This window comes from Homo sapiens, chromosome 5 (assembly GCF_000001405.40).
Source record: "Homo sapiens chromosome 5, GRCh38.p14 Primary Assembly".
In the NCBI taxonomy this organism is placed as follows: domain Eukaryota; kingdom Metazoa; phylum Chordata; class Mammalia; order Primates; family Hominidae; genus Homo; species Homo sapiens.
In genome coordinates this window covers 95,658,128-95,669,990 of record NC_000005.10, presented here as the reverse complement: position 1 = coordinate 95,669,990, position 11,863 = coordinate 95,658,128, and the positions used below count along the sequence as shown (strand labels likewise).

Sequence of the window (11,863 nt, the reverse complement as noted above, 5' to 3'; positions counted from 1 at the left end):
GGGTTCTTTTGTACTTGGCTCTATGGATGCTGAATAAAATTATTCCTCAAACCCCTCCAGGTTCTGCAGGAATGAGACTGCAGTGATAGAATTGTGGCTAGTTCTATAAAAAGCCTCAGGAATGGAAAACTCTTAGTAGAGAATTTCCTGGTAGTTTTCAACATCTCCAGTGCCAGTATTTACAGAATGGTGCATCTGCTTAGCCTTGTGAGTTGCCTGCCTGAGTTGAGTCCGCAGCTGCTCTAGGCTGCAGTGACCTAGATAATCGCCTTGAATGCTGACTTCAGCCAAGACACGTCAGCTCCCAGACATCATTGTTGATTCTGGCAGGCCAATGCAGAGCCACAGGACCAAGAGCTCTTCCTGTGATAGACTCATCCCTATAATGGCATTAGAGTTGACTGTTTTTACTTTGTATGCATACTGCGGCATGGTATAGAATAAGATAGGGACCAAAGTGAAGAAAATCCTCAGCGTTTACAATGCCTGGGCTGTAAGGTGGATCCCAGTGAACTCGTGTTCTTTTTTCAGGATAAGGATCAGAAACTTACCTATGTAAAGTTTCTTCCTTACCCCACCCTCTAAGTTAGACTCCAATTTGGGGTTTAAACTATAAACCTCATAAATATCAGGAAGTTCTGTAGGTCCCACATGGGCCTGCCATGAGGCTAACTTGGCTGGTATAATCTAGACCCGGGGAAAGAGGATATTTCCTAGATAGAACTCCTGGGCTCTTGAAGACATACAGTACTCCTCCACGTTGGCAAAGGGATTAGGACATTTGAGCCTTTACAGGACCACCGGATTAAAAGCTTGTTTAAGAACAATGTTCTACAGAATGTTAACACTGGGGTTAATAAAGTCAGGTAGCTTTCTTTAAAGTCAGGAGTCTTTCCTGTATTCAAAGGTGTTGTGAGTTGCTAAGTAAAGACACATTTGTGCAGCTTTTCCAAACTTAACAGGAATACTTTATTTCCTGGACCTCTCTATAAGTAGCAGTCAGTGTTTCCTGCAACATTTGTCTGAGAGTTAGAACTTCCCCTATGACTCCCCTTGTAACTCTCGTCAGGGTGGTTTTGGACAATGTAAACTACATGGGGCCTGGTAATTCTCCAACCTTCAGGTCATGTATAAGTGAATCTTTACTGCTCACTGTTGGGTTTTTTGTGTGATTTATCTCAATAGTGAAAATAAGATGAACACACATACTTCTTTTATGAGATAAGGCAGTCAAAATTCTGTGGAAAAAGTTGAATTAAAGGTTCAAAATGTTTTTACTGCTCAAATATCCATATATTTTACATGTTTTACATAACCAAATTTAAAAAGAAATATATGAACATAACATTGATACCAAGACATTTTTTAACTCAAATATGCACATAAAGTGAAATTAATATAACAAGGTTGAGATAAAAATTTTGAAATAGGCCAAGATCATCTAAAGACTGCCACTTACCAAATTTCTCCTGTTTTTTCTCTTAGCTTTTACCATACACTATTTCTGCTCAAAGCAAGACAAAAATGAAACAGCATGGTTTATAATATGAAAAACATGTTTTTTAAGTGAATCATAAAGTTGAAAAATGGCTACTTGCCAGGAGCCACATATATTTTGGAGGAAATATATTTTCTTGTTACAGGAATAAAAAGTAATTATTAAAAGCATTAAAATATTTAAATATGACCCTTAAACAATATAAAGATTAATTATTCAGAAGCATACCATATATCAAGTACATAATTTATTTTGAAACTAATCAGCTTTAATTACTTTTAGGTGAAGGACAAAACCTGAGAAAGAAAGATGTAATAAAACAGAAAGAGTAATTTCTCATGTAGACACCCGTACTAGTCCATTCTTGCACTTCTATAAAGAAATACCTGAGTCTGGGTAATTTATAAAGAAAAGAGGTTTAATTGGCTCATGGTTCTGTAGGCTGTATAGGAAGCATGGCAGCATCAGCTTCTGGGGAGGCCTCAGGGAACTTACAATCAAGGTGGAAGGCAAAGGGGAAACCAGCACTTCACATGGCTGGAACAGGAGGAAGAGAGAGAGGTGGGAGAGGCCATACACTTTTATACAACTAGATATCATGAGAATTCACTATCCTGAAGACAGCACCAAGGGGGGATGGTGTTAAACCATGAGAAACTGCCCCCATGATCCAATGACCTCCCACCAGACCCACCTCCAGTATTTGGGATTACCTTTCAACATGAGATTTGGTGGGGACACAGATCCAACCCATACAACACAACTTTTATTTTTATTGTATATGGCCTACCAATGATTGAACATGGACCTCCCACTGTGAATTCATATATTCACAAGCTTAAGAACCTTTTCACTCTGCTAGGAGGTATATCTGCTTTTCTTCCTCCTAGAGAGTCTGCTCTCTACTTGTATATTTGTCTCCGTGTAGCCTAAAAGTGGGATTCAAAGGCATGCTATCAATTTGATTCTTTCTAGAGAGAAAAAGCAGCAGCTGCTTCATTTCCTGGAAACTCTTTCCAGAAGCCAGGAATTCTGGGAAATGCTGCAGGTGACCTATGGAGGGAGTGGGCAGAAACTTTCCCTACCTATCCCTACATCTAGGAGTTAGTACGGCCCGAAGAGAAAGGAGGAAGAAAGAAAACAGCCTTTCCCCAACCCCCAGCACCCCCACCCCCCCACTCTTAGCTACTAGGCTAGATCCTATTCTTGGTTTCCTTGTTCTGTAAATCACTTAAGAGGGAAGAAGGAAATTGCAGTGGGCATTTTTGTTCTGCATTCAGTAGTGGCAGCACTAAGCGAACACTGAGCATACTAGAACAGGATGTACACATATTTTAATAATTTCATTTACAAAATACCATATGTACTTTCAACCTAACATAGAAAATATAGAAAACAAGAAAGAATTTAATTTCTCTGAACCTGTGTTCTTATTTCATAGGTTTGTTAGAGGATAAAATGAGAGAATGCAAGGAAAGCCAGTAGAATAGAACCTAGCATGTAATGAGTGTTCTACAAATGTTAACTATACAAAGCCACATAACTAAATCATAACAGCAATTAAACTTTTGGTGCATTTCTGTCCAAACTTCTTTCTATGCAATGTTAATTGTGTTTAATCATAAAAACATGGGATGTAGAATTTTTAAGCTTTATACTGAAGTATACAGAATAGTGCACAAATTAAGTGTATAGCTCCATAAATTTTCATAGATTGAACACATCTTGGTAAGCAGCACTCAAGAAATCTCATGATGCTGCTGCCTTACAGTCACTAATTCTCACCCTTGCTAGGATAATTGTTTCCTTTTCTTCCAACAGCATAGTTTGGCTTGTTTTTGTATGTTATATAAATGGAATCAATCATACTTGTTATGCTTACTATTTTGAACCTTGATCTTTCTCTATTATTATTACTATTATTAATATTCCCTCTCTAATAAGGGACTATTAATGTCCCTTAATACTACCCATGCACAGACATTTTACTAAAAATTTTACAAGCATTTTCTTATTTTTACAGCAAATCTATGAGATAAACATTAGCTATTATTCTCAATTTGGAGATGAGGGAAACAAAGCTTAGAGGAAAGAATTAATTTGTCCAAGATTTCATTACTCAAGAACTCTGGGGCTAGAAATTAACTACATCTATTTACTCCAGAGTCCATCCCTGTAATGCAGTCCTTTACCACTCTTCATGAGCAGTAGTGTATCCCAAGGCAGCGTAGCTTAATGATCAGGTTAACAACTTGGGCCCTGGAGTACTATTTCCAGTTTAAACCTCACTTTGCTACTTATCAGCTATATTACCAGGGGCAAGTTGCCTACTTTTCTTTTTTCTGCTTTCCAGTTGTGGAATGAGGATAATAATAATACCAACTTCATAGGATTGTTTTAAGAATTAAATGTGAATACTTATAAAGTACATTGAACAGGACCTGGTAGACAGTGCCATGTAAGTGTTCGTTCAACAAAAAGTTATCACGTGTTCTTCAGAAGTACCTTTTATTTATTTATTTTGAGATGGAGTTTTGCTCTTGTTGCCCAGGCTGGAGTGCAATGGCATGATTTCAGCTCACTGCAACCTCTGCCTCCCAGATTCAAGCGATTGTCCTGCCTCAGCCTCCCAAGTAGCTGGGATTACAGGCATGCGCCACCAGGCCTGGCTAATTTTTGTATTTTTAGTAGAGATGGGGTTTCACCATGTTGATCAGGCTGGTCTCCTGACCTCAGGTGATCCACCTGCCTTGGTCTCCCAAAGGGCTGGGATTACAGGTGTGAGCCACTGTGTCCGGCCCAGAAATACCTTTTAAAAGGCTGCATACTATTCACAATAGCCTGGATATAGAATCAACCTACGTGTCCAACCACAGGTGAATGGATAAAGAAAATGTGGTTTATATACACAATTGAATACTATTTAACCATTAAAAAGAATTCTGTCATTTGTGATGGCAAGGATGAATCTGGAGATCACATTAAATGAAATAAGCCAGGCACAGAAAGACAAGTACCACATGATCTCACCCACACGTGAAATTTTAACAACTACAACAACAAAAAGTTGGTACATAGAAGCAGAGAGGAGAACAGTGGTTACCAGAGACTAGGTAGGGAAAGGGGAAAAGGGAAGGATGGTGAGAGGTTGTTAAATGGGTACAAAATTACAATTAGATAGGCAGAATAAATTCTGGTGTTCTACTGCGCAGTAGGGTGACTACGGTTAACAGTAAAATATTATGTATTACAAAATAGCTAGAAGAGAGGATCTTTTAATGTTCTCACCACAAAGAAATGATAAATGCACAATGTGATACAGATGCTAACTACCCTGATTGGATCATTATATAACATAGACTTCTATGGGAACATCAAATTGTACTCCTTAAATATGTACCATTACAATGTGTCAATTAAAAATACATAAAAGGTTTGAAAAAATAAAAAGATTGCATAATATACCACTGAGTGGATATAACATAATTTTCCTAACTATTCTGGAATCATTGTTTTAGTTTTTTCAATGTTATAACTCTTTAATCAACGATCATTGTTTTAGTTTTTTCAATGTTATAACTCTTTAATGAACGTTGTCTAATGAACATTATGTGCATGTTTTTACCATGCATTTATATGATTTTATCAGCTACAGCCTGTACCTTTTGGAAGTTCATCGAAGCCATTAAGTTGCTTGGCTCTTACTTCAGAGGAGCCTGGCTAACTGTCACTTCACTGCTGAATGGAAAGGGAATGTATTTCCTAAAGTCCTCATTTCATACCCTGCTCAAGGCAACAAAGGTGGCCCATGAGACAGTATAACTAAGTATGTTAAGCTGATATGTTTCAGGCCGGTACACCTACTGCCAGAAACTAGAAACACAGGAGAGGCAACTTCATTATTGGTGTTAAACTTCTCTGTGTTTCATAAGAGCCTGTTGCATATGAGCACAGAACATTTTCTGAAGCTTAATGATCATCTAAGGTTAATGCTCGCCTTCAGCAGTCTCATGATTAACATTTCCAAGCAGGTCATTAATCTCTAGGAAAAGCTTATTATTTTGATTGCTGTTTACTTAATTGAGGTTGTGAATAATTAGTAAAGAATGATTACATGAATTTTAACAAAGGAAAGACTGTTTTTCTAATATGCACAGCAGCACCTCCTAGTGTGCACAGTTGGTAATTGGCAAAAATTAGTCATTTAGATCGCAGAAATGCAAGATTTTTATAGATTTGTCACAGGTTTTGATTAGCACAAGAAACTGTCTTCTTGTTAAAAAAGGAAAAATAATTTTCACAATGTGAAAAAGCCCAGATAGCTCTAAAGTAGATGACTTTCTTTAGAAAAAAATAAATTCTCATTTTACAGTAACATTGTACAATATGACATTGAAACACTGAAAATGTTTGTTTATTAAGAAAATCTTTTCTGTTTTTGCAGGTCAGAAAGGGTTCTTTGTTTGAAATCATCTCCTTTCCAGCAAAGACTGCTTTAACTAGCATAATATATGCTTCATATGCAGCACTAATTTATTTGGTAAGTTAAGAAAATTATTAGAATCTAGAAATAAATCTACTTATTTTGTGTAATGTTAATAATACTGTGCAATAGTATACTGTACAATATTTAATGTTACCATTCACAGTCTCGTTACACAAAACAATTTTATATTAAAAATTTCCTTTTCTGATGAGCCAGGTCAATCCACCAAAACCCAGTTTGCTTAAATAACTAAAATTTTATTTTCATAAAGTTTATTACCACTTGAATATTTTTGGTCAAGAATTTTTAGTTTTACTGTTATTTAGCTACAGTTGTTTTTTTCAGCCATTGTACCATGGTTGGCTAAAGTTCAGTATTCTAACATTTGGGGTTTCTCACTTTGGGGAACGCAGGTATTAGTGTATTTTGGATTACAAGTGCTGTGCATGAGAAAAATATAAAAGATTTTTTAATTATAAGGGTTTTATTTTCTATTAATAGCCACTTAAAAAAACTGTAACACACAAAAAGGAAAGTGTACAGCTTAATGAATTATCACAAAATCTATTAAGCTCTATACTACCCAGGTCAAGAAACAAAACATTACCATAATTCCAGAAGCCTCTTTCTTGCCCCTCACAATCACTACCCTTTCCTATACAGGATATCACTATTTTGACTTGTAATACTACTGATAGTTTGACTGCTTGAATTCTATATAAATAAAGTCATATAGTATGTATTCTTTTGTGTTTGTCTTTTGCCCAACACTGTTTTAAGATCATTCACTGCCTGTAGCAGTAGTTTGTTCATTTTCACTGCTGTGTAGTATTCAACTGATTGACTGTATCAACATTTATTTATCCATTCTACTGCTGATGGACATTTGGATTATTTCATTTTGGCTACTATGAATAAGGTTGCTATAAATATTCCTGTACATATCTTTTGGTGAAACTGCTAGGCCATAAGGTATGCATGTGCTGATACCTAGTAGATATTGCCAAAGAGTTTTCTAAAATGGTTTTTTAACAATTAACACAAATCTCAGTTTTAAGTCCAAGTTGCTCCACATCATTACTGACAGTATTGTCAATCTTTTCCATTTTAGCCATTTTTGTGGGCATGTAGTATAATCACATTGTGGTTTTAATTTGCATCACATTGTGGTTTTAATTTGCATCTCCTTGGCTATTAATGAGATTGAGTACCTCTGCATATATTAGTTGGACATTTGGATATCCTCTTTGTTAATTTCTGTTAAAATCTCTTCTTGCTTTTCTATTGAGAGATGTCTTTCTTAAAACAATTTTTGATTTTTACTTTAAAAAACATATTCTAGGAGCCTGTCCTTTTTTGATTATATATGGACAAATTTCTTCTCTTACTCCGTGACTTGCCTTTTCATTCTTTTAATAATGTCTTTTAAGGAAGAAATTCTTAGCCAGGCATGGTGGTGTGTGCCTATAATCCCTGCTACTCAGGAGGCTGACGGGGGAGGCTGAAGCAGGAGGATACCTTGAGCCCAGGAGTTTGAGACCAGCTTGGGCAAAATAGTGAGATCCAGTCTTAAAATAAATAAAAGCATATCATAATTTTAATGTCATCCAATTTATTAATCTTTTCCTTTATCTTACGTGCTTTCTGTGTCAAAGAGAATCTTGACTTACACCTAAGGTCATGAAAATATTCTCCTGTTGTATTCTAGAAGCTTTGTTAGTTTACCTTTCACGTTTAGATTTATAATCCATCTGGAACTAATATGAGGTAAGAGTCAAATTTTTCCCCATGAGTATCCAATTAATCTATTTTTTCTTTAAAAAAAGCCCTTTTTCTATTGTCCTAGAATACTCTTTTTTGCATAAATCAAGTGTCCTTTATGTGTAGGTCTGTTTATGGATTCTCTGTTCTATTCAGTTGGTCTATTTGTCTATTCTTGTACCAATTGAGCACTGTATTAATTACAGGAGCTTTATATCTTAATAACTGGGAGAATAAGTCCTCTTTCCGGTTCATGAATATAATATATCCTTCTACTTATTTTGATATTCTTTAATTTCTTTTAATCATTTTTATGTTTTTTTGTTAGCATTCTTACACATTTGTTAATATATCAAAACATACAAGAAGTCCCAATTAAGAGCCAAGCAGGTGTGTGCATGTGTGTGTGTATGTGTGTGTATGTAAGTTGACTAGATAGTTCTAAAATATATAGGGAAGTGCATAGGGTCAAGAATAGCTAAATATCCTTGAAAAAAGGTAGAACTTACTTTTAAACATATTAATTCAGTTTTTTAAAAACTAAATTTATCAACTATTTTGCCACTGTTTTAAATTTTCAAGAAGTGCTCAATATTTTAAATGTGAATCTTATACAAAATTGGCATTCAACTAAGCTAGGATGTAAATACATTGCACAAAATGAACAGGATGACATGTCTATGGGGAAATAAAAACTAGACTAACACAAAAATTAGATTTCAATTTCTCAAAGGCTGTTGAAATCATCTCACACAATTTATCACGCCATGAACTTTATAAGCAGGTAATAGAAACAAATTTTTGGTGATCTGATAATTGGTCATATATGTATCTAAGGCCTGGGAGAGGTCAGGTTACAATTTTGGTTTTGAAAGCAATATATATGTTAGATGTTAATGTCCTACGAGTGGAACCATATCAAGAGAAAAGACAGGTAAGTCAACAGAAATATGAAGAACAGCAATATTTAAGTGAGCTAAAAAAGAATCCATTTGGGAGACAAGAAGCAACAATCAGAAAGGCAGAAAGAAAATCAGGAGAAATAGTGCCAAGGAAATAGACTCAGGATGTTGTGAGTAGTTAAGTGTCAAATACAAGCAGAAAAAGTCAAGTAAAATGAAGATTTGAAGTGTCCATTAGATATAGTAGTAAAGATGTCAAGGTTAACCATCTCAAAAATGATTTCAGCGGCATAACTGGATAAGGAAGACAGAAATAAGCAGGTTTCAGAGTGAACAGAAGGTAATAACGTGGAAACAGACTCTGGTTTGACTAAGAAGACAGAGTGTGTAGCAGTCAATAGAGAAGCAGATTCCCAGAGATTTTTAATTTTTAAATATTAGGATGGAAGATACTCAAGTATGTTATAAATTGCAGGGGAAGATCCAGTCAAGAGTAAAGAGGCTGAAGAGACAAGGAATAATTGATAGAGAAGATGGTAGGATGTAGGTTAAAAACAAAGATAGAAGGATACTGACCTTGATCAAGACCGTTCATTCCTGAGACTGGGAAAAAGGTGGTTAGAATGTGCACAAATATAATTTTTTGTTGGTGAGGGAGGAGAGAATGTTTCAAATAGGATAGAACTTTCCAACCTTTTTTGCAACATGAATTCACAGAGAATGATCATATTTTGGATAAATGGATGAGGCTGTTTACAGCTAAAGGTCATGACTTTAAAGGTTTCTAGTGCTGGGTCTGGATACATAAAAGTGCAAGTAACAAAGGATATCTGAATGACAGTATCTTAATCGATAAAGATACTTAAATATCTTAATTATAAGTTGGGAGTTAGGCAATTCCCAGGTTTGTACAATTAGGTCCAACATGTTATCAAAGCCCAGGTCTGAATGTCCGTGCTTCCCCCAAATTCTTATGTTAAAATCTAATCCCAAGGTGGTGGTATTAGCAAGTGGGGCCTTTGGGAAGTGATTAGGTAATGAGAGCAGAGTCCTCATGAATGGGATTAGTGCCCTTAGAAATGAGGCCTGAGACAGCTGCCTTGTTTCTTCCACCATATGAGGACATAGATAGAAGGTACCATCTATGAAACAGAAAACCAGCCCTCACCAGACCCTGAATCTGCCAGTGCCTTGATCTCGGATTTCCCACTCTCCAGAACTGTGAGAAATAAATTTCTATTGTTTGTAAGCTACTCAGTTCATGGTATTTTGTTACAGCAGCCCTAAAAGCCTAAGACAACAGGGTCTTTCCCTCTTTTTCTTCTAAAAACTTTTTAGTCCTTAGGTTTGTTGCCTCATGATCAAGCATCACAATACTATCAGTGTTCAAAGAAGGAAGAGGGAGATAGGTAGAGGGAAAAGACAGTCTATATAGGAGGAAAAACTTTTCCAAAAATCCTTTCTGAGTTCCATCCCAGCAGACATATCATTTTATTTCATTAGTTACAGGGTAGCTAATGAACTAACTGCAGGGAAGTGAGGGAAAGTGTCTTGTGTTCCTCAATTCTATAGCAAGAGGCAGGCAAGAAGGAGGCAGGAGGCAGGAGGGCAAGAGGAAGTTGAGGCTGTTCAAGCCTGAGGACCTCAATCCTTTTGCTGTTACCTCTTTCGGAAAACCTTCTAAGTGTTTATAATCTTTTATATTACCTTGAGGCATTTCTTCGGTGAAATAAACTGGTTTAAGTCTTCTCATATTTCATGAATTTTCCGTTCTCACCGCGTGCCTTGAATACTCAGCATCATCATCATCTTCATCATTAGTAAACTTACAGAGTAAGTTTAATTAATGCAGTCCTTAGTGGTTCTGAATTTCTGAAGTTATTTTTCTCTGTTTTATTTTTGACACTCCTCTCCTTAAAGTACTGAGTGGCATATTTGGAGGGGACAGTGGATCACATATTTGCTCAGAAACCACTGATAGTAGCTTACTAAATTCTTACTGATATGTTGATGTCCTTTCATTGCACATGTAAGTATAAGCAAAGTCTAGGGGGAAGAAAATTAAAACAAAAAAACTACTTTGAGAAAAACCATGTTTGAGGACAAATTCCATCTCTCAGAAAATGTTTCATTTAATTACATCAAGAGAATAAAGATGTAAAACAGCTAATGAATTGGGGGGAAAAGATGTAAAACATATATTTATTGAAGCATACTAGGTTTTAAATTGCTCTCTAGATTGTAATGTATTATTTAGAACAATCTCCCAATGCTTATTATATTATGTACCTGAAGGTCCTGAAAAGAAGTGTTTTTTATTAGATTATGTAGATTAAATGACTTTATGTGGAACACTATATTGTATGTTTTTAATCTGTGGTTAGTAGCTTAAAAAGAAACTTCACTTTACAAACTCTTTTTATTGTATAGGCAGTCTGTGTTAATGCTGTGCTGAAGAAGGTAAAGAACATCTTCCAGGAAGAAGAATCCATAAGGCAAAACAGAGAGGAGAGTGAAAATTGTAGAAAAGCCTTTTCTGAGCCTGTGCTTTCGGAGCCTATGTTTGCTGAAGGTGAAATCAAAGCAAAACCTTATAGGTCATTGCCGGAGAAGCCAGACATTTCAGATTACCCCAAGCTTCTTGCTAATAAGCAGAGTAATAACATCCAAGTTTTACATTCTGTGTTTGACCAATCAGCTGAAATGAATGAGCAAATCTGAATACAGGTATCACTGAACAGAACTTAAGAGTTATCTATTTAATGGCACATTTCATCTGACAAAACTCAGAGTCTAGTTTACATATTCTGAATTGCTCTGCTTTCTTAAAAAAAAGAGAAGGGGGCTACTATTAAAATGTCATTTTCTAGTATTTACATGATAGAGTAAATAAAATGAATATTGATGTGGAATATATGTACTGACTACATACTTTTAATGAACAAGAAAATCCATCCTCTGGTAGGTTAGACTTTACACTGTGGTTTATAATATAAGCATATTTATAATACATTAATGTTTTTATTAAAGACTTGTTTTGAGTGTCTAATTCTTTACTTGGGAGGAAAAAAAGCCCCATCAAGATGGTGCATATCAAAATAAAAGAATATTTATTTTTTATATGCAGACTGGAGAGTTTGAGTCTGCCTATTATTATTTTGTAAATCACTTGCAAAGTTATGAAGGATTTGCAATTCACAGATGTCATAAATTTAT

At 35.6% G+C, this 11,863-nt stretch overlaps 1 protein-coding gene across 15 annotated transcripts in view; it reads left to right on the top strand.

Annotated features, from left to right (window-relative positions):
• SPATA9 (spermatogenesis associated 9) overlaps nucleotides 1-11,863 on the top strand; it is a 79,922-nt gene that overhangs the window by 62,112 nt on the left and 5,947 nt on the right. For 9 of the 15 annotated variants that reach the window (NR_125329.2, NM_001349303.2, XM_047417809.1 and 6 more), the window contains 2 exons: nucleotides 5,943-6,038; nucleotides 11,078-11,676. Coding sequence is in view for 8 of the 15 variants with exons in the window: in NM_001349303.2 (NP_001336232.1) it covers nucleotides 5,943-6,038; nucleotides 11,078-11,368 (387 nt within the window). In the remaining 7 variants the exon portion in view is untranslated. Of the gene's footprint in view, nucleotides 1-5,942; nucleotides 6,039-11,077; nucleotides 11,677-11,863 lie in introns of those variants that run through there. The other 6 variants (NR_125330.2, NR_125327.2, XR_001742295.1 and 3 more) reach the window with 3 other exon arrangements.